Source organism: Homo sapiens, chromosome 4 (genome assembly GCF_000001405.40).
Source record: "Homo sapiens chromosome 4, GRCh38.p14 Primary Assembly".
Taxonomy (NCBI): domain Eukaryota; kingdom Metazoa; phylum Chordata; class Mammalia; order Primates; family Hominidae; genus Homo; species Homo sapiens.
Genome location: NC_000004.12, coordinates 188188235 through 188211918, shown reverse-complemented (window position 1 = coordinate 188211918; position 23684 = coordinate 188188235). Strand labels below are relative to the sequence as shown.

Genomic DNA, 23684 nt, shown 5'->3' with positions numbered 1-23684 from the left:
TAGACTGCAAACTTTACCAAAACAAAAATAAATATCTAATTCATCTTTGTATAACCAATGCCGCATTAACACAGAGCTTGGCATATAAAAGACTTAATACATGTTTGTTAAATAAATGAACAGATTTAAAATTTGTTAAATTTATGACAATTTATAAACTAAATTCATTTTTTAAATGTGGTAAATATATATAATGGAATACTATTCAGCCATAAGAAGAATGATGTCCTGTCATTCACGGCAACATGGATGAGCCTGGAGGACTTTATGTGAAGGGAAATAAGCCAGGCACAGAAACACAAATACGTTCTCACTCATATGTGGGAGCTTAAAAAGTTGATCTCATTGAAAGAGAGAGCAGAATGCAGGTCACCAGGGGCTGGGAACTGGCGGAGAAGGATGAAGAGAGGTTGCTTAACATGTACAAACATAATTAGACAGAAGGCATAAGTTCTAGTGTTCAATAGCACAGTAGAGTAACAGTAGTTAACAATAATTTATTGTATATTTCAGAATAACTAGATTTAAAATGTTCTCAACGGCCGGGCACAGTGGCTCACGCCTGTAATCCCAGCACTTTGGGAGGCCGAGGCGGGCGGATCACGAGGTCAGAAGATCAAGACCATCCTGGCTAACATGGTGAAACCCCGTCTTTACTAAAATACAAAAAATTAGCCGGGCGTGGTGGTGGGCGCCTGTAGTCCCAGCTACTCGGGAGGCTGAGGCAGGAGAATGGCGTGAACCCAGAAGGCGGAGCCTGCAGTGAGCTGAGATTGCGCCACTGCACTCCAGCCTGGGCGACAGAGCGAGACTCCGTCTCAAAAAAAAAAATAAATAAATAAATAAATAAATAAATAAATAAATAAATAAATAAAATGTTCCAACACAAAGAAATGAGGTTTGCGATGATAGGTATCCTGACATGTTCACTGCATTGTATGCAGAGATCAAAATATCACCTATGGCCAGGCACGGTGGCTCCCACCTGTAATCCCAGCACTTTGGGAGGCCGAGGCGGGCAGATCACTATGTCAGAAGATCCAGACTATCCTGGCCAATACGGTGAAACCCCGTCTCTACTAAAAATGCAAAAATTAGCTGGGCGTGTTGGGGGACGCCTGTAATCCCAGCTACTCAGGAGGCTGAGGCAGGAGAATCACTTGAACCTGGGAGGCGGAGGTTGCAGTGAGTCCAGATGGCGCCACTGCACTCCAGCCTGGAGATAGGGCGAGACTCTGTCTAAAAAAAAAAAATAAATAATAAATAAATAAATAATCACATGTACCCCATATATGGGTATGATTATTATGTATCAATTTTAAAAAATAAGGAAGTTGAAAGAGTTCCATCAGACTATATTACACATCACCAAAAAAGCCATTTGGTAAAACTGCAATGAGATACAACTGCACACCCACTAGCATGTCTAAAGCTAAAACAACTGACTGTACCAAGTGTTGCCCAGTATGTGGAGGGACTAAAACTCTCACATGCTGGTAGTAGGAATGTCGAATACACGGAACTTTGGAAAAGAGTTTGGCGATTTCTTACAAAGTTAAATACACACCTACCGTATGACCCAGCCAATTTTAGGTATTTATCCAAGAAAGATAAAAGTATATGCTCATTGAAAAAGCTATCCACAAATGTTTATATCAAGTTTCTTTGTAGAGGAGAAGACCAGAAAAGTCAATGGGATAACTTTCTACATAAAACTGTTTATTTTAAGCATTAAGCTTGCTAAGATTGGGGGGACAGATGCATTAGGGATTTAGGAATGGGGGAAGATGTGAGGGTCTTATCCAGCATGAGTGCCTTAGCAGGTTAGTGAATAGGATGCACGCATCCGTATTCTGCCCTCAGCTTGGCTGCGTGCTCTTGTGATCGGTTGTGTTAGGAGATACAGTTGCAAGCAGGGATGTTTGTTTGGGGAAACGCCTGTGAGACTGACTGAAAGGAAAGAAGAATGGACTGTCTGAGGAAACAACATCAATCTGAAATTAAATCTTCCTTGACATTGCCCAGAGTAACTTATTCTGGCTTTCCAAGGGTGAGATGACTGATAGCAAAGCTGAAAGTACATGATTCTAGTTTTTTGTTGTTGTTTTTTTTTTTTTTTTCAGATGGAATCTCGCTCTGTTGCCAGGCTGGAGTGCAGTGGGGCGATCTCGGCTCACTGCAAGCTCCGCCTCCCAGGTTCACCCCATTCTCCTGCCTCAGCCTCCGGAGTAGCTGGGACTACAGGCGCCCGCCACCACGCCCGGCTAATTTTTGTATTTTTAGTAGAGACGGGGTTTCACCATGTTAGCCAGGATGGTCTCGATCTCCTGACCTCGTGATCTGCCCACCTCGGCCTCCCAAAGTGCTGGGATTACAGGCGTGAGCCACCGTGCCCGGCCACACGATTCGTAAATAAATTTCTTTGCATGGTTCCAATTTATGCTACTCCATGTATTACTTCTGATACCCAGAGACACAAGGCTGCTGCCACACCTGTGCAGCATGAGACCACCATACACACTTCCGTGCACTTCTCTTTCCCGTACTCAGGCGTGACCTACAGAATTATGTATTCCCCACAATATTCCAGGATTGCACCACGCGACACGGAATGTGCCACAAGCACAACCATGAAAATGTAATATAAGTGGCAAATCTGAGGCCAAAGCAAAACAAAAGTAAGAAGTAAGATGAGCTGGAGCTGTGGGTGATAAACAAAGATAATGGGTACGTAATTTATCACCTAAACACAGAGCACTTCGGAAAGGGCAGGGAGTGAGTCTCCACCAACATAAATAAATGACTGCACAGCACAAGTAAATAAATGAATGGGGAGAAGAGACAAATCTCCTTAACAGAAGGATTCCTAGCAATCGATGGACACTGCACCTGCAGAAGGGAAGCGTGAGTCACTGCTCCGTACGTGTGAGCTGCACACAGTGACCTCCCTCTGAGGAGTTCAGTGTGGGGTGGGGGGAGTGGGTCTGCAATGAAGAAACCTAACCAACGCTTCTCGGCAGGGGATCGAGGTCAACATCCACTGTGAGGAATCCTGTAGTATGCACCTCTGATGTGAGGCGAGAGGAACGCCGCTTTGCCGCTCTTGTCTTCCTCTCCAGAACTCGTAATACCGATCAAATGATGAGAAGAACATCAGATAAATTTCAACAGAGGGCATCCTGCAGAATGATTGACCAGTACTCCTCAAAACTGTCAAGGTCCTCGAAAACAAGGAAAATCTGAGAAACAGCCCCAGCCAAGGAGAGCCTGCGGGGCGTGACAACTCAGGGCAAGGTGGGATCCTGGAACTGAAAAAGACATCAGGTAAAACTAAAGATGTCAGAATAAAACACAGACTTTAGTTAATAGGACAGTAAGGCCTCACTTAGACCTCCTCAATAGAGGAGGAGACCTTAGACCTCCTCAATAGGTTCTTGGAATAATGAAACCAATTTTCCAACAGGCTAATTGATATAGAGAAGAATTCAGTTCTATAGCATATTTCTGGTCACAAAAACATCCTTCTATCAATTATTCTAGTATTTTATTTTATTTTTATTTTTGAGATGGAGTCTCGCTCTGTCACCCAGGCTGGAGTGCCGTGGCGCGATCTCAGCTCATTGTAATCTCTGTCTCCCATGTTCAAGAGACTCTTCTGCCTCAGCCTCCTGAATAGCTGGGACTACAGGTGCCCGCCACCATGCCTGGCTAATTTTTGAATTTTTGTATTTTAGTAGAGATGGGGTTTCACCGTCTGCATCAGGCTGGTCTCGAACTCCTGGCCTCAGCTGTTCCTCGCGCTCCTAAAATGCTAATTACAGGTGTGAACCACTGCACCCAGCCTACTTTTATGTTTTTTTTCTGTTTCTTCCAAACTACCATTTCTCTTCATTAATTATCTCTCTATTTTCTAGTTTATATATATATAAACTAAATAAATATAAATATGTAAACATAAAGTGTATGTGTGTGTATATATACACACACACACACACACTTTTTTGTGGGGGCATGGAGTCTCGCTCTGCCTCAGCCTCCGGAGTAGCTGGGACCACAGGCGCCCACCACCACACCCGGCTAGTTTTTTGTATTTTTAGTAGAGACGGGGTTTCACCATGTTGGCCAGGATGGTCCTAATCTCCTGACCTCGTGATCCGCCCACCTTGGCTTCCCAAAGTGCTGGAATTACAGGTGTGAGCCACTGTGTCTGGCCATATTCTAGTATTTATTTAAACTACTTCCACCACACTGAGCAAAAATGACCTTATAGTTAATTTATGTGTGTCTTATTTTCTATGTTACATTATAAATAGCTGGAGAACAGAATTATTTCTTGATCCATTTTTGCCATCCCCATGGAATCTGGCCCAGTTCCTCATGCGCAGCAGCTCTCAGTAACCACACATGCAAATCCTCTCTAAGGTAAGTCCACCTTGGCCATAGGTTCGTGGAAACTGTGATTTGAAGCTAAATTACTGTAACAAAACAAATTTTCCCGTAGGCTAATGCCACAGACCAGGGTGAAGTTCCTGTAGTGTATTTCTGGTCACAGAAACATGACTGAACTTCTAAGTAAAGACCAAAACAGTTCTCATATTAAACATTGAAATAAATGTCAGCTAGATGTACATTTAAGAAAGATTAATAAAAACAAGTGAGATAATGACTTACCTGCTTATCCAGTTCAGGATCGCGGGTGGCCACAGCCCATCCCTGCAGCTCAGGGTGCCAGGCAGGACCCTTCCTGGCCAGGACGCTCTCCCAGGGCAAGATGACACCCTCACCCAAATTCACACTCACCCTCACATTCACTCTCACCCTCACATCCACACTCACCCACCACTCACTTTCACTCACTCACACTCACCCACACTCATCCACTCACCCTCACATCCACACTCACCCTCACATCCACACTCACCCACCACTCACATTCACTCACTCACACCCACCCACACTCATCCACTCACCCTCCCTCACTCATATTCACTCACATTCACTCCCTCACACTCACACTCACCCTGATTCACTTACATTCACTCAGCCACACTCTCACTCACCCTCATTCACCCACACTCGCCCTCACCCATCCACACTCACTCTCCCACACCCGCACTCACCCACACTCACTCACCCCAGTACCATGGAGACGTGCTGGTGAACCCAATGAGCACAGCTTTGGGAACTGGAAGAACCGTGAGAACCTGAAGAAAATCCACACAGACATGGGGATAACCTGTAAACTCCACACAGGTGACCTTGCTGGGAAGCCACTTTTAAAAAATTAACATTGTAGGCCAGGCGCTGTGGCTCACACCTGTAATCCCAGCACTTTGGGAGGCCAAGGTGGGTGGTTTACCTGAGGTCAGGAGTTCGAGACCAGCCTGGCCAACATGGCAAAACCCTGTCTCTACTAAAAGTACAAAAATTAATTAGCCAGGAGTGGTGGTGGGCCCCTATAATCCCAGCTAATCAGGAGGCTGAGGCAGGAGAATTGCTGGAACCCGGGAGACAGAGGTTGCAGTGAGCCGAGATTATGCTGCTCACTGCACTCCAGCCTGGCCAACAAGAGCCAGACTCCATCTCAAAAAAAAAAAAAAAAAAAAAAATTAACATTGTAACAAACTAACATTGGGAAAAACATGTTATTCAAGGAACTGCTTTAATGTATCAAAATTGGTTTATTAATTGTAACAAAGGTTAAGAGGTTGATAATAGGAGAAACCAGGTGCAGGGTATGAGAACTCTGCATCTCTCTATTTTTCTGTAAATCTAAAATTGTTCTAAAAATAAAATCTCCTTTTTTTTTTTTTTGAGATGGAATTTCACTCTTGTTGCCCAGGCTGGAGTGCAATGGCACTATCTCGGGTCACTGCAAACTCCACCTCCTTGGTTCAAGCTATCCTCCTGCCTCAGCCTCCCGAGTAGCTGGGATTACAAGCATGCACCTCTATGCCTGGCTAATTTTTCGTATTTTTAGTAGAGATGGGTTTCACCATGTTGGCCAGCTGTATCCCAGCTACTCGGGAGGCTGAGGCACGAGAATCACTTGAACCCAGGAGGCGGAAGTTGCAGTGAGCCAAGATTGCGCCACTGCACTCCAGCCTGGTAACAGAGTGAGACTCCGTCTCAAAAAAAAAAAAAAAAAAAAAAAGTGCTCAGAGGCCGCGAAAGTAATAGCACATAATGCATTAATTAATATGCCAGATCTGCCAACTTGCCAGGTTACATTGGAACAGGTTTCTTAATTTTGCTTCTCCTCAATTTCTCATCTCTAAAACTATGTTAACATGTGTACCTAAGTAAAAAGCATGTGTCATGTTGGGATGTTATAAATATGAAATACAAACATACACTGACACACGCACACACACATCTATAGTGTATTCATGTTGTGTCAATAGGTAGACTATCTATATGAATATATAGAGAAAGTATATATATACATGCACACACACACATATATATACACAAAGAGAGAGACAGAGATTATCATGTTGTTTATTCTTTAAAATGATGGTGATAATTTTAAGTACTATGGTAATGAGAAGGGTTAAAGAATGACCTCAGTGATGCCCTGGCTATCAAGTAACCAGGCGGTTTCCAAACAGCAGTCATTAAAAAGAGAAAATCTAATAAAGCTAAATTAAATCCAAACATAACTATAAGGTTAAGTAGATAAACTCACCTTTTTAAAAAAGGGGGAACAAGTTTCGTATTTTTTTTAAAAAAGCTATAGTAAAAAAATATTCTGCCTAGAAGGAAGGGACGAAGCAGTAAAAAAATATTCTGCCTAGAAGGAAGGGACAAAGCAGGGCAGCATGTAAACGCTAGTCAACAATACATTGCAGACGATTAAACACGGAAACAAACCGCAGTTCGGCTGCTGATACTAGACCACATTGGATTCAAGGCAAATGAAAAGAAAATGAGAAGGGCACTTTGTAATTTATAAGGAGCATAATTCACAGTGGAGAACGTAACTCTCATGAATCTTTACTTTTTCATCTCCCACACTAAAGTAAAACTGCAGGAATCAATGGAAATGTAACCATCCTAAGAAATTTCAACACACTCATCCAGTTCTGTAACAGATCAAAGAGACCAGAAATAATGGATACAACTGACTAAATATTATAATGAAAAAGACTTTGTTTATGTTTGTGTCTGTTCAATTCTGTAAGCTGAAAACAAGTGTCTGCAGAACATTTATTTTAAAGTGTATCTGAAATTACATATAAAAACATGACTTTGATAATTTCCAAAATGAAATAAATAACCACATTCTTTAACCATAATACAAAAAAGGAGAAACTATTCCTAGAAGATAAAATAGAACTGGCCAAATATGTTAAATTTGTTTTGTTTTTTTTTTTCTTCAACTTTTATTTTGTGTAAGTTCAGGGGTGCATGTGCAGGATGTGCAGGTTTGTGGCATGGGTAGACATGTGCCATGGTGCTTTGCTGCTCGGATCATCCCATCACCAAGGTAGGAAGCCCAGCCTCCATTAGCTATTCTTCCTGATGCTCTCCCTCCACCCACACACCCCCACAGGCCTCAGTGTGTGTTGTCCCCACCTTGTGTCCTCTTCATTCAGCTCCCACTAATAAGAGAGAATGTGTGGTGTTTCGTTTCCTGTTCCTATACATTAATATTTTCAAAACTCACTCTTAAGGATCTCCTGGGTCAAAGATGAAATCAAAACTAAAATAAAAGAATATATTTAAAGGAGCAATAACAAATACTAAAATGATGGAATGAATTAGCTTTATTTTTTAAAATACACTTTAAATGCTTTCATTACTAGCATAGAAAATACGAATAAAAATAGTCATACATTAAAAGGTTAGAAAAGAAAAATACAAAACAATCTATAAGAACACAATTAAAAAACAAAAATTGATGAGTAACTAAAAATACAAGTGAGATATAACTTTAAATTTAATTTAATTTTATATTTTTCATTAATTTATTTAATAAAACTAGTAAAATATTTAAACCACTCTATTAATAATGACTTTCATCTTGAAATACTCGTTTTCCTTTTGACATCAATTCTTTGGTTCTTGAAACATCTTGAATGGCACCCTTAGAAGCTGTTCTATCTCATTTGGAGTTTCCTCCTAGTATCTAACATCGCATGAATGTCGTTTTTCCTTAGTGTAACTGAGTTCTTGCAAGGCAAGAAAAAAGAAAAAAGCTGGCTCCGGCATTCTAAGCAGGAAAGGACTTTGTTGGAACCATATCTGTAACTCCCTGGCTGTAAGGGAAGGCTTAAGAAGCAGAATTATGGGCCGGGCGCGGTGGCTCACGCCTGTAATCCCAGCACTTTGGGAGGCCGAGGCAGGCGGATCACAAGGTCAGGAGATCGAGACCATCCTGGCTAACACGGGGAAAACCCGTCTCTACTGAAAATACAAAAAATTAGCCGGGCGTGGTGGTGGGTGCCTGTAGTCCCAGCTACTTGGGAGGCTGAGGCAGGAGAATGGCGTGAACCCGGGAGGCAGAGCTTGCAGTGAGCCGAGATCCCGCCACTGCACTCCAGCCTGGGCGACAGAGCAAGACTCCGTCTCAAAAAAAAAAAAAAAAAAGAAGTAGAATTATTTATAAGAGGATGGGAAACCATGAAGCCTCAGGAATCTGAGCAGCAAGAACTCATGCGAGAGCCTCAACAGTTTTCCTGATCTAAAATAAATACTCTACAACTATTGTGCCTTTTCCTGTCCTTGTGCTACTCTACTCAAGACAAAATGATCTAGGAGATTTTAATCACATTCCTCAGCTACAGCAGGGCACAGCAATTGATTTTTGATACACCAAGGCTGAACACAATGGGGAAAGATGTAATTATCCAAGAGATCAGAATGCTGGTTATCCAAAGAACCAACCACGTACCTGGGTGGGGCCAACGAACCCTCCTCACGCTCAGTGTTCTGTCCTGCTTCCTATCCTCCCTTCTCCTCTTCTGTCTTCTCTTCTCGCCTCTTCCCATTCTGCACACACTCTCCAAATATCTCATCCCCTCCAATGGTTTTAGTTCTCATCTATATTCCAAAAATTCTCAAATCTGTATCTCAATCCCAGATCTCTTCAAGCTTCAGACCGTTATATCTATAAATTTATTCATAGATAAACAAGGGTACTTCAGACACCTAATGTTCCAAATTAAATTCACTCCCCATCCCACCGCTCCACCCCAGTGTATTTTGTGGAGTGGCCATGGTGACGGTGTGAGTAGTGATTATGAGAAAGAGCAGACTCCACTTGAATTAATATTATTGGTACAGATTCTAGGAAGGTTTCAGGTAAAAAGGTGTCTGAGAGGAGGCTAAAGGGTGATTAAAAGATGACCCCATTCAGACAAGGCAGTGTATTGGAGGCAAGAGAAGAGGCATAGGACAAACAGGGAAGTTTTCTGAGCAAATGAGACATGAGCAAAAGGGTTGACATCAAAAGAGAACATGAATTATCCAATATGGGTGAAGTGTGGAATGAGAGAGAGAGTGTGTGTGTGTATAGATAGAAGCAGTAAGATAGTGCAATATGGCCTCTCAAGATACAGGCTGATGGATCATGAGATATGGGACCTCTTTAAGAAGCCATTGAAAATTTATAGGGAAGAAATTCATCTATAAGACTTAATTTTTGAAAATTCTAGAGAATGAATTGGAATGAGAATGACTGGAAGCAAAACCAACTTGGAAATTAATGTAATGATCCAGTTGAGAAATGACCATAGTTAGGTCAGGGAAATGACAGTGCAGTTAGACAGAAAGGAAATTCTTTTCTTATTCATGTATTTATTTGTTTTTTAGAGATGTGGTTTTGAAACTGACCCAATTGTCTCATAGACATTTTTTTTATATAAACACAGAAATTGACCCGCGTGGTCTTAAAGCTTGAAACTTATTAACATATTTTTTTTCTGAGTTTATCCCTCAGGAAAAGACCTTCAGGCCTCTCAAAAAAAGAGTATCAAAGAACTGAAAGTCACCAGATCAGCACATCCAATGAGATGCTGAACGCCTCATTCATCATGATGGCTTCCTTGCCCCTCCCTGGTTCCTGTTTTCTTACGCACTGTTACATTTCTTCCCTGCTATAAAAACCTCTGGTTTTAGTACCACAGGGAGATGGATTTGAGACTGAGTTCCATCTTCTTGGCTGCAGCAAAGATTAAAGCCATCTTCCTTGGCAATACTCATCGTCTCAGTCATTGACTTTCTGTGTGGCGAGCAGCAGGACCTACACAGAGGCTGAAGTGTTTCAGTAACTGTCTTGCTATGTTGCCCAGGCTGGACTTGAACTCTAGGCTCAAGGGATTCTCCTGCCTTAGCCTCCAAAGTAACTTGGACTGCAGGCTCTTGCCATCATGCCTGACTAGGAAGGGAATTCTTTTAAGAGCAGCTTCAGAGACTGAATTTTCAAATTTTCAGAATGAATTAGATATAATGTAAGAGAAGAAGAATTTTTGGCTTTGGAAACTGGATTGTTGGTGATGTCATTCATCTGTATTAGAAGAGGAAAAAGAAAGGCTAGTGGGGTAAATATGCTAATTAACTTGATTGTAGTGATTACCTCAGTGTGTATTATGTCAAAATATGTTGTACGCCTTAAATATACACGATTTTAATTTGTCAATTATACCTCAATAAAGCTAAAAAATGGATTAAAAAACAAAGGAAAAAAAAAAAAGAAAGACAGGCTAGAGGGAAAAGACTGTAAGTTAATATTTTGCAACATTTAGTTGGAGGTTCCTGGGAGGAAGTCTACAGGACTTGCTGGATATGTAGGATTGAAGTTCAGGAGAAAGGACTTAGTTACAGAAAATGATTTGGGAGCGATGAAATTGAAGCCATAAAAATAAATTGGTTGTTAAAAAAATTAACAACAAATTTAGTTGAAATTTAATTGGCTATTATTAGCTATTATAGGACCAGACACCATCTCATTTTACAAAATAGCGTGGGTGCTGTGATGAGCTGAACGTGTGGGTTTAGCTTTATAGGCAGAGAAGGACTGAGGAAGGCAGAAACTGGGATGAAAGCAGACTGCTAATTTCAAAAGTTACTTTTCTCATAAGGTTAAAGCAAAGGGTACTTGTTTACCAGGCCGGCTCAGGTCAACTGGGCCCCTTCTGATTGGTGGCTGCAAGTCTCCTGTTTTTGGAAAGCCGACGGTTTTGAAGTTCAGCTTGATTATGTGGCTTGGACGGGTCTGTGGGGCCCAGTGTAGGAGCGCAGTCCCAACAACGGCCCCCCATAAACTTTGTTTAATGCAGTAAAGAAAGGAGATTGATGTGCTGAAACCAAAACCTGAAGAACAGCTTTTAAAGAACAGAGAAAGGCCAGGCGCGGTGGCTCATGCCTGTAATCCAAGCATTTTGGGAGGCCAAGGCGGGCGGATCACAAGGTCAAGAGATCGCAACCATCCTGGCCAACATGGTGAAAACCCGTCTCTACCAAAAATAGAAAAATTATCTGGGCATGGTGGCGCGTGCCTGTAATCCCAACTACTCGGGAGGCTGAGGCAGGAGAATCGCTCGAACCCGGGAGGAGGAGTTTGCAGTGAGCCAAGATCATGCCACTGCACTCCAGCCTGGGCGACAGAGCAAGACTCTATCTCAAAAAAAAAAAAAAAAAAAATATATATATATATATATATATTTATATATTAGAGAAAATATATATATATATATATTAGAGAAAGAGATGCCTAGAAAGAAGATGGAGAAGTATAGCCTGAGAGCTTGGTGTGGTGTAGAGACAGCAGTGGTGTCTAGGAATTCAAAACAATTTAGCTGTTAAGATAGAGTAAAAATAGAAGTAAAGCTTTTAAAGGGTTGGACCCAGCAACAAGTAGGTTTTCATTCTTTGGGAAAACAGTTTAATGGGATGATGGAGACAACAGTTACAACTAAATAGACAACACTTTAAAAAGGTGTATGAAGCCAAGGAACCGGAGTTTTGTTTTTTCAAGTTGGGAAGGAAATAAATACGCTTTCATGCTGATGAGTAAGCAAAGGTTGAAAACATAGCAGGGAGATGTCATCATTAAGACTACACTTACTGAGTTAGTGGAAGGAAATACAATTCAGAGCACAGGCTTTAAAAAAATATAATGAAGTAGAAAGCATTAGCTTTATATGCCGTGTCACTGTAAGGGGAGAAAAGGGAAAGGGTGGGCGTGGATAGGGATTCTTCTGCAGGGCTGATTTTGTGGGAGTGAGAACAGCGTGGGCAATCCTTTTCTGTGTCTGCAAGGTTAACTGCAGGGGATGAAATGAGCTTGGTGGTCAGAAGAGAATAGAAAATGTCTGAAGTATCTCCTGATGAGAATGAGATCAAGGTGGCTAAGGAGACAGGGACTCCTGATTATCGAGCTTAGATACCATGCAGTTACAGAGCGGCACTCATCTCTAAAGCTGTGAAATTCTTTACCAGTACCTCTGATCCTCCCATTTGAAAAGGCAGAAAAGGTAGACATTTAATTTATAACAGACAGGGATTTGGGCATGACAGAGTTTTGAGATATAATAGGAGAGTTTTCGGAGTGATAAATTGTGAACACAGTAACTTAAACTTCAGATTTCATAGTACAGTTTCTTATGGCAAAGTCCAGTGGGAAGCCGTGGCTGAAATGAAATGAAATCCATTGTCTCTCAAGATAAGGAGGCCAAGGAACTTAGAAATTCGGGTGCATAATGTGGCAACCCCATGAACACTGAAGTCATTTCGGATGATGCAACAGGGTTCAGGGTGGAGAAAAAAGTGACCCTGGCTTTTAAATCTCCAGTGAGTAGTGTAGAATGGCAAGGAGTCCTGGATGAGCATGAGGGAAGTTACAGGCAGGCTTCCTGGAGGCTGTGAGCCTCAAAAGGAACGGGCCTCACGCTCAGGCAGCAGAACAATTTTATGAAAGTAGCCACTCTGAAGTTTTTAGTTTGTGAAATAATAAGCTGCTTCAATCTAAAGAATTATAGGCAACTGGCTGAGCACGGTGGCTCACACTTCTAATCCCAGAACTTTGGGAGGCCAAGGCAGGTGAATCACCTGAGGTCAGGAGTTCAAGACCAGCCTGGCTAACATGACGAAACCCCGTCTCTACCAAAAATACAAAAATTATCAGGGCATGGTTGTGGACACCTGTATTCCCAGCTGCTACTCAGGAGGCTGAGGCAGGAGAACCCAGGAGGTGGAGGTTGCTGTGAGCCGAGATCACGCCATTCCATTCCAGCCTGGGCAACAAGAGCAAAACTCCAACTCAAAAAAAAAAAAAAAGAATTATAGGCAATCACTGTGCTCAGTGGATATCCAAGTTTTAGTTAAAGCAAGAGGATAGAAAAAAAAATATTCAGTGAAGATTTCAAAAGTTTAAGATAAATTGTGCACCAAACAATGGACTGTCTGGGGTCATAGTGGCGAGTTGGGAAAGTGGGGAGCTGTGTGAGGAGGGATGGGCAGAACACCTCTGGAGGGTGGGGGTCCTGATGCATGGGCTTCCTGAGAGGGGACCAAGGAGAGCAGGGCTGTCAGAGATGGTGAGGAGATACAGCCTCAATTTTTCTTTTTCTTTTTCTTTTTTTTTTAGATGGAGTCACTCTGTTGCCCAGGCTGGAGTGCAGTGGCACAATCTCGGCTCACTGCAAGCTCCGCCTCCCGGGTTCAAGTGATTCTCCTGCCTCAGCCTCCCGAGTAGCTGGGACCACAGGCACCCGCCACCACACCTGGCTAATTTTTTGTATTTTAGTAGAGACGGGGTTTCACCATGTTGGTCAGGATGGTCTCCATCTCCTGACCTCATGTTCCACCTGCCTCAGCCTCCCAAAGTGCTGGGATTACAGGTGTGAGCCACTGCGCCAGGCACCACGGCCTCAATTTTTCAAATGGACTAATTCTAGAGTTTTCCTCATGTTGAAACGGGACAAGTTCCCTTGTCCCCCTCACATGGCGTGCAACACGGGGAGTGGCTGACTTCAGTTCCCTGCTGCTCAGACCTGTATGGGGAGCATGCAGACGGGCAGGTCGTGGGGCTCCAACCCCATGGCAGTGTCTAGGGGTGAATGCTTACAGCTCCTGAGGCCCCAGTGGGCGTGTGTTACAGGGTGCTCTCAGCTTTCGTCATCTGTAGGTGTCGTGTTCATCAGCTCGATTAGATCTTCTGCCTTATTGCAAGGACAGGCGGCTTTCTGTACCCTGGGTTCTTGCCTTGGTGTACCAGAAAAATCAGATCACACGTGGGCTTGGAGAATGAGTGCAAGGTCTGATTGAATGTTGGAGGTAGCTCTCAGCAGGTGGGTGGGGAGGGGGAAGGGGATGGAGTGGGATTGAATGGAGGAAGTAGCTCTCAGCAGGTGGGTGGGGAGTGAGAAGGGGATGGAGTGGGATTGAATGGAGGAAGTAGCTCTCAGCAGGTGGGTGGGGAGTGAGAAGGGGGTGGAGTGGGATTGAATGGAGGAAGTAGCTCTCAGCAGGTGGGTGGGGAGTGGGAAGGGGATGGAGTGGGATTGAATGGAGGAAGTAGCTCTCATCAGGTGGGTGGGGAGTGGGAAGGGGATGGAGTGGGATTGAATGGAGGAAGTAGCTCTCATCAGGTGGGTGGGGAGTGAGAAGGGGATGGAGTGGGATTGAATGGAGGAAGTAGCTCTCAGCAGGTGGGTGGGGAGTGGGAAGGGGATGGAGTGGGATTGAATGGAGGAAGTAGCTCTCATCAGGTGGGTGGGGAGTGGGAAGGGGATGGGGTGGGATTGAATGGAGGAAGTAGCTCTCATCAGGTGGGTGGGGAGTGAGAAGGGGATGGGGTGGGATTGAATGGAGGTAGTAGCTCTCAGCAGGTGGGTGGGGAGTGGGAAGGGGATGGAGTGGGATTGAGTGGAGGAAGTAGCACTCAGCAGGTGGGTGGGGAGGGGGAAGGGGATGGATTTAGAAGGTGATTTTCCCTTTTAGTCGGGCCGCTGGGTGGCCGGACTCCCCTCCAACGGCCCCGGCCAGATTCCCCTCGGCCCCCCATCTCCGCCGGCTGATGGCCTGCCAGCGTGTTCTTCCCCACTCTGCTCCTCTGGACGTCCAGCTGCCTGTGTACTCTAACACGGGCATGTTCCTCTCAAAGTCCAGTGGGTTGTGTCTGTGCCTGCTAGGGTCTCAGGGTTTTTATAGGCACAGGTCGGGGCCGTAGTGGGCCAGGGTGGTCTTGGAAAATGCAGTATTTGGGCACGAAGACAGGAGTGCCTGTCCTCACCTAGGTCTGTGGGCACAGGCCTGAGGGTGGACCCCTAGCCAGGGACCCACCTTTCTCTACCCAGCACTTCCCTGACCCTCTCACATCTCAATGTGAGTGGGTAGGAACTGGAGGGGAATGTAACTTAAGCCTCTTAACTGTGATCATGTGCTTCTCTCCCCAGTAAACATCCCTAATCTCTCTGCTAGCCTAGCCGACCCCTGTAAGGGCAAAGCACTAATGTGAAAGTAAAGGTGTTGTGCAAAGGTGAGCACGGCCCTGGAGTCTGAGATGCTGCCGTGCAGAAGTGGAGCTCAAGGCTTCAGGCTCTGGCAGAGAGCACCCCCGAGCACGCGGCATGCAGCCAGCTTCCTGGGCCCTCCAAATCCAATCCCCCTACCCGATTCCTAGAGTCCGGGATTTCCTCTGAGCTCGCAAGTCTCTGAAACTTAAAGGCAGTCCAGCAGAGTAATTAATACAGAGATCCACTGCTCTCCTGACTTCGGGCAGTTATCTTACTTTTCTCAGCTTGCGATGCTTATCTGTAAAACAGATATGCCTTCCTCGCTGAGGCACTGTGAGAATGAAAGTCAGCAATCTAAAACTCCTTGCTCAGTGCTGGAATAAAACATGTGCTCAATGAATGGCAGCTATTATTATTTTTTCAGAAAAATGTTCTGGCAAGAAGCACATAGGGCTCTTCAGAGACTGTGTTCATAGTCCCGAGCTGAAGGCAGGTCAGGAAAGAAGGATCCAATTTTAGAGTAGATGCCTCACTTTCTTCATTTAATTTTCCTGGTACTAAGCCAACCCCTTCTCCTTGCCTGCTACCTACCTGCCTGTTAAAAACTGCAATCCAGTGGTTTTTGGACCTCAGCTCTGGAAACTTTGATTATTAATTCCAGGGAGGGACCGCACAGTGCTATATTGTTAAGACATCACAGGACAGCCTGTTGCATAGCCAGCATTGCAGGCCACTGTAAGCTGTAGACTCTTCTAGAAGATCACTAGACTCTTCTTCACAGCAGTCATTAGGTGAAAATGGCATTCATAGAGGACAGGTTGTATCTCAGGTACTGTGCCGCTACATAAAGGGAAGTTTTGAATGGCCTCTAAAGGATTTGGCTCAGTGACAGCCTTTACTTCTGGCTTGGAGCCCAGACCAGGCCCGCCTTATTCGTGTGGGTGACCATCACTACGGATGCTGGAGGTCCAGCACGTCACAATCCCACCTTTCGCAAACTACCTTATGTTCTTGCCCCTGTGTCTCTGCTGCTTCTTTGCTTTTCTTCCCCAAAATTGATAATGAAAATTTTCATTCCTTTTAAAACATGTACTGGAAGTACATGTTTTAAAATGTACATAATTCAAAAAATCCAAAGCACATATAAGGAAAAGTAGATTTCCTGCCTTTCTCCACATCCCAGCCACCTAGTTCCCTCTACTTGGAGACAAGCGCTGCTGCCAGTTTCTAGGACATTTTTTCAGAAATCTCTTTTCAATGTATGAACATATTTTTCCAGTACATGGAGTATATTATACCATGTACTTTTGCCTTTTGCACATTTTATATTCCAGTGGATATTGGAAATTTTTCTTTCTTTCTTTCTTTTTAGACAGAGTCTCGCTCTGTCACCAGGCTGGAGTGCAGTGGCACGATCTCAGCTCACTGCAAGCTCTGCCTCCTGGGTTCAAGCGATTCTTCTGCCTCAGCCTCCCAAGTAGCTGGGAATACAGGCTACAGGCATGCACTGCCATGCCCAGATAATTTTTGTATTTTTTTTTTTTTTTTTTTTTTTAGTAGAGACGAGGTTTCACCATGTTGGCCAGGATGGTCTCGATCTCCTGAACTGGTGACCTGCCCACCTGGGCCTCCCAAAGTGCTGGGATTACAGGCGTGAGCCACCACGCTTGGCCCTGGGAAAATTTCTTTATCAATGTGTGCAGACATTCCCTGACATGATGGTTTGACTTACAGTTTTGTGACTTTAAGATGATGCAAAAGCAATATGCTTCAGTAGAAAGAGGCAGAATACTCTCTCAATGCTGTGTGGTGGCAACGAGCCACAGCTCCCTGTCAGCCATGTGATGACCTGGGTAAGGAGCCAGTACTCTGCAGTGCACTGTGTTGCCAGATGCTTCTGCCCAGATGTAGCTGCTGTGAGTGTTCAGAGCACACTTAAGGTAGGCTAAGCGCTGATGTTCAGGAGGCTAGGGGTATTAAAGGCATTTTTTTATTGATACATAATATTTGTACATATTTATGGGGCTCGTGTGATACTTTGTTATGTGCGGAGAATGTGTAGTGATCAAGTCAGGTTACTTGGGGGTACCTAATGCATTTTTGACTTACAGTATTTCCAATTTATAATGGATTTACTGAGAAGTAATCCCACTGTTGGCTGACGAGCATCTCTATAGATGTTCCACCTTTTCTATAATAGCTGTATATTCTCCAGTGTACAAATGGAGCAACACTTTATTTAGTCAATTTTGTTGTAAAAATTACCATTTTTCAATCAGCGGCAAGATTCAAATATTGGATAATTCAGTGTAATTCACTTCTGTGGTGCTCTGTGTGCCTTGAAGGGTTGAGATAGCTAGCTGACTCACAATTCTTCCTACTATAAATGGGTTTTTATATTTTGCTTGCAAAGTTTATTTTCCATGAAACACCTTCTCATCTGTGTATCTTAATGCTATAGAATGCGAATTTTAAGAAGATCCTTAATTACTAAATCTTTTTAGGCCAATGGTGATAACCAGATGCCTTTCTCTCTAATAAATGCAAGGAGGAAAAATGGGCAAAGCGACTCTGCGAATAAAACAACAGAGATTCCATGGAATACCGGAGCTGAGATTCTGCATTCTCTCTTCAAGAACTGCTAAGAATCATGAAAATCACTCCCCCTCTGCAAAACCTCCTGAGAAACCTTTCCTTAGGGAGCTATCCTGATGGTTCTCATGATATATCAATACTGTGATCAGGAAAAAAGACCTGCGACCGCAAATCCTGGTAATAAAAAATAAAAGATTCCAGTAAGTATGTACAATCAACAAGGCAGAGTTCTTTTTTTTTTTTTTTTTTTTTTTTTTTTTTGAGACGGAGTCTCGCTCTGTCGCCCAGCAGGCTGGAGTGCAGTGGCGCGATCTCGGCTCACTGCAAGCTCCGCCTCCCGGGTTCATGCCATTCTCCTGCCTCAGCCTCCCGAGTAGCTGGGACTACAGGCGGCCGCCACCACGGTCGGCTAATAACAAGGTAGAGTTCTTAAGGGGAAACAGTTCATGTTCACGCGTGCGTTTGTGATTTCTTCTGCAAGGTCATAGACCTTTGGACGTTTACTGACGTCACTGACAGACATGTGAAAGGTGAAATTAGGGGAAGGTTTTGATAAAGGGAAATGGAAAAAATAAACTTAACTGTATTGCATATGGAATGGTGGGAGATACTAGTAGATATAGCTAGCAAAAATCCATGAATCAGGGCCAGAAGTTCTTGTGAGAATCTGCGAAAATTGAGGCTCAGAAGTGACAGCCGACACTACGACCCTGAAAACCTTCCTGCTCTTCATCTCTGCTAATGCGTCTCCCCAGCAAAACAACATGCTTATGTTTCATTCATCTTTAAAAAACAAAATAATAAAAAAGAAAAACTTCTGGCATAGTATTGTTTTTTTCTCTAGTCCACTTAATTCCCCAATTGATCATCTCATTTATTGCACCATTCCCCTTTCTTTCTCTATTCATCTCACTGAAAAGGTACATTTTTTCTCTACCACTCCATGACAGTTAATTTTGTGTGTCTATTTGGAAGGTGGTTTTGCCTGAGATTACCATTAAATCAATAAACTCTGAGGATTATCCTTTAGACTGTAGGTGGACCCCATCCAATCAGGTGAAGGCCCGGTTAGAACAAAAGGAATGACCCTCCTCTGATCAGGATAGAATTCTCCAGCAGACTACTGCTGGTGGTATTATTATCTGATATCTCTAAAACTGTTAGTTCTTCCAACTATTCTTCTAAAAACTCTCTTCTTTTTATTTTATTATTATTTTTTATTTATTTTGGAGATGGAGTCTCACTCTGTTGCCACGCTGGAGTGCAGTGGTGTGATCTTGGCTCACTGAAACCTCTGCCTCCTGGGTTCAAGTGATTCTCCTACCTCAGCCTCCCAAGTAGCTGGGACTACAGGCACACGCCACCATGCCCAACTAATTTTGGTATATTTAGTACAGACAGAGTTTCACCATGTTGCCCAGGATGATCTCGATCTCCTGACCTCGTGATCTGCCCACCTCAGCCTCCCAAAGTGCTGGGATTACAGACATGAGCCACTGCGCCCAGTCAACTCTCTTCTTTTTAATTTCTGTGGTGCTGTCTTGACAACTTTTTTTCTGACTGCTGTAATCATTCCTTTTCAGTATCTCCCAGGGGCTCCTCTTGCTCCCCCTGACTCTAGGGTACTGGCAATCTCCAGTAATCTGTCCCCAGCCTTCTCTCCCCACACTTCTTCGTTTGGGTTTCAAGTGGAAGACTCTAAGTTATGACTCCCCCACAGAATCTTCATTCTACACCACTCTGCGCCTCTGAAAGAGCTGAGAGGACCTGAAAGGCGGAAAGAGGGGAGCCCCTGGGGGGTGAGGAGGAGACTGAGGAGCAGTGGCATGAAGCTGGGGCAGACAAGGGAACGGGCTGGTGCATCACGTCATGAGTGTTCACAAGATCGTGTGCTCCTTATTGATGTCTTATTTCAGAATATGTTAGGAGTGTTATTAGAAAACATTTTTAATATGGAGACAAAATTGAAAACTATTGAAACATTACAACGTTTTCAAGTGATATTATAATTTTCTCATCCAATAAATATTCAGTTTGAAGAAGTTAAAAGTAAATTTTATTAGAGTTCTACTTTACAAACACACAGAAGCATACAACATAAGTGAAGCCAAAAGACCAAAACCAAACTGTAATATGTCCATTGTTTTGGTGTCAGACAGCAGGCTTTTTTTTTTTTTTTGAGACGGAGTCTCGTTCTGTCGCCCAGGCTGGAGTGCAATGATGCGATGTCGGCTCACTGCAAGCTTTGCCTCCCGGGTTCCAATGATTCGCCTGCCTCAGGCTCCCAAGTAGCTGGGACTACAGGTGCCCGCCACCTCGCCCGGCTAATTTTTTCATATTTTTAGTAGGGTTTCACCATGTGGCCAGGCAGGTCTCGAACTCGTGACCTCAGGTGATCCGCCTGTCTTGGGCTCCCAATGTGCTGGGATTACAGGCGTGAGCCACCGCGCCCGGCCTAGACAGCAGCTTTGACTGAACAGTGCTGCTCCTTGCAGAGCAGGTTAACTCATAGGCAGTGTGCTCAGAGTCAGCCTAAAGGAATTATGTGTTACTAATAGCACATGACATAAAATTTCAGAAGAGAAACACCAAAATTTCAACAGAAAAATGAGGGAAAAAGCATGATAGGTAGTTCACATTAAAGAAAAACAAATGTCATTTCTTCTCAGCCTTTTGGCTAAGATCAAGTGAAGAAAAACAAATGTTTTCTAAACTAATAAAAATATGCTCAAGGTTCACATAGTAAAATAAACACAAATTTGAAATAGCATTTCTTAGTCTTCAACTGGGACATTTTCTAATTGTCTAACAACATACTTAAAAAAACAAAATATTTGACTGGATAAGTAAATTCTTATATATTCACAGCATAATGTTTTTATAAGGCCATTAAACAAAGGTGACTTCATTTTATGATAGTTGTCTAAATACCAAATCTTTCCAAAAATACCATGAAATGATACAGAGGGATTATTTTGAAGATAAAACCCCACAAGAACAAAAACCTGGAAAAGAAATAAAAAGCACCAAAATTCTGAAAGGAAAAAAGGAAGTAATATTTAAATGAGCAAATCCGAACATAATAAATACTAAGCCAGTGGTAGGAAAAGGCCAGAAGTAACCAGCTTGCAGAATTCCCAAAAGGCTCAGTAATTTTTGGCTCCAGGAATCTTAGGAAGTGCAATTAAACACAGGATTGTTTCCAAGAAGCTGAAGGTCTGTTTGAGCAATTGGCTCACGTCATCCAACAGAAGGCTGGATGGAGGTTTCTTCTCTGTAGATCAGAGGATCACCAGACAAGACCTGAGATGCCACATTAACAGAAAGGGATCACACTGGATTTTGCTCACATACAGAATTTCACGTATCCAGCCTTCTTCCCCCACCTGATATGCAGAATGCCTGCCTGATATCCAGGATCTTGTCCTCCAAGCAGACAAGAAGCTACTTCTCTGAGAAATCTGACCTATCCAAGGAAGAAAATTTAGAGACTGGCATAGTGAGGCTTCAACAAGTCAGCCTGACTAAATCTCTCTGCAATGGGGCTAGGCTTAAGCCTTGCCCAATCAATTTGCTAATACCCCAATCTTTTTTTTTTAGGAGGGGTGGGGGGAATGGAGTCTTGCTCTGTCGCCAGGCTGGAGTGCAATAGTGCAATCTTGGCTCACTGCAACTTCTGCCTCCTAGGTTCAAGTGATTCTCTTGCCTCAGCCTCCCCAAGTAGCTGGGACTACAGGTGCGCCATCAGGCCCGGCTAATTTTTGCATTTTTAGTAGAGAAAGGGTTTCACTGTGTTGGCCAGGATGGTGTCAGTCTCTTTACCTCAGGTGATCCACCTCCCTCAGCCTCCCAAAGTGCTGAGATTACAGGCGTGAGCCACTGCGCCCAGCCACTAATACCCCAATCTTAATTATGAGCAGACAACCATGTGTCTCTAGGCAACTGAAGACAGCCTCTCACCTTAAAAATAGAATAGAACAAACAAACAATAATAAGTAACTTGGAGAAAATTGAGACTATGCAGGAAGCCAAAACTCTGTAAAATAGTCACTAATGTCCACAGAGAAATAAAAGGATATATGGCATCCCTGAAAGAAAAATAGGTCTAGAAGGATAAGGAGGAAGAGGAGAATTATTTTGGAGAAAAAGAGAAAAATATGATGTCTGTAATTAAAAACTTAACCGAGAAATTAATTAAAAATTAAAATTTAGATCTCCCAAAAAGTAGAGCATGATTCTAAGAAGTACAAAATAAAATATGAAAGTTACAAGGATTTTAGACTTTCAATCCAAAAAAGAATTCCTTAGTCCAAGAAAAAAAGAAAAAAAAAAAGGAGGAATGTGAATCACGAAAAAGCTCTCCATCAAAACCCCACTCCACTCATATTGTCTGGTGCCCTGGCTGAAGTGGTAGCTAGCATGGCTGAGGACTGACTGGGCTTCTCTGTCCAGGATAATAGTCAGACTTCTTACAAGCTGTCATAAGTCTCCCAAAGACAGAACATGGAAGTTGCCATGACTCTGAGGGACAAGGCTTAGAGCTGCCACATTCTACTGAGAAAAAGCTAGTCACAAGATCAGTCCAGATTCATGTGGGAAAGAATAGACTTTACACATATAAAGATGGGAGAAATTATTAGCAGCCCTCTTTTGGGAGAGTTAAAGTCCATATTCTACATATCTGTAGTGTAAATCATGCTTATATAGTCATAATACAAATATTGAATACTTATCTAACAAATATAAGTAAATTGGTAGAATGGTACATGAAAATGTGTAAATGTATGTGAAATGTGATGAAATAAAATAAATTTGATCTAGTGAGAAGTCAGTAGTTAAGCTTAGGACTCAATAACAACAACAAAATACAGAACTAGCAGTATAGTCGTTAAAATCATGCGATTACATTAAATACCAAAAGAAAAGCTATGTGAGCTTAATTATTGTCTCTGAAGAATAAGAACTAGAAGGAGATGAATATAGTACAATTTAATTTTTTTTTTTTAAGACAGAGTTTCTCTCTTTTTGCCCAGGCTAGAGTGCAATGGCGCAATCTCAATTCACTGCAACCTCTGCCTCCCGGGTTCAAGCAATTCTCCTGCCTCAGCCTCCCAAGTAGCTGAGATTACAGGCGCCCACGACCACACCTGGCTAATGTTTTGTATTTTTAGTAGAGACGGGGTTTCACCATCTTGGCCAGGATGGTCTCAATCTCTTGACCTCACGATCCGCCTGCCTCAGCCTCCCAAAGTGCTGGGATTACAGGCGTGAGCCATCATGCCTGGCCAAATATAGTAGTACAGTTTTACATATTAATCCTTATAGAACTACTTGAGGCTTTGAAATATGTACATTTACAACTTTGAAAAAATTAAAACTAACAAATACAGAAATTTTATGTACTAGACCAGGCGCAGTGGCTCACTTCGGGAGGCTGACGTGGGCAGCTCGCTTGAAGTCAGGAGTTCAAGACCAGCCTGGGCAACACAGCAAAACCCTGTCTCTACCAAAAATACAAAAAATTAGTTCGACGTGGTTGTGCACACCTGTAGTCCCGGCTACTTAGGAGGCTGAGATAAGAGGATGGCTTGAACTGGAAGGTGGAGGTTGTGGTGAGCCAAGGTCCTG

At 43.2% G+C, this 23684-nt stretch overlaps 2 annotated features.

Moving 5' to 3' along the window:
- Window positions 15321-16019: an enhancer, noted in NCBI's record as "H3K4me1 hESC enhancer chr4:189117054-189117752 (GRCh37/hg19 assembly coordinates)". NCBI's record gives its function as "activates a minimal SCP1, AML or CMV promoter by ChIP-STARR-seq in primed H9 embryonic stem cells {active_cell/tissue: H9 hESC(primed)}" and the evidence as "EXISTENCE:reporter gene assay evidence [ECO:0000049][PMID:30033119]".
- Window positions 23112-23281: an enhancer, noted in NCBI's record as "experimental_76925 CRE fragment used in MPRA reporter constructs". NCBI's record gives its function as "activates a minimal promoter by MPRAs in K562 erythroleukemia cells, with activity observed for both the introgressed and non-introgressed 4:189109877 variant alleles {active_cell/tissue: K562}" and the evidence as "EXISTENCE:reporter gene assay evidence [ECO:0000049][PMID:34662402]".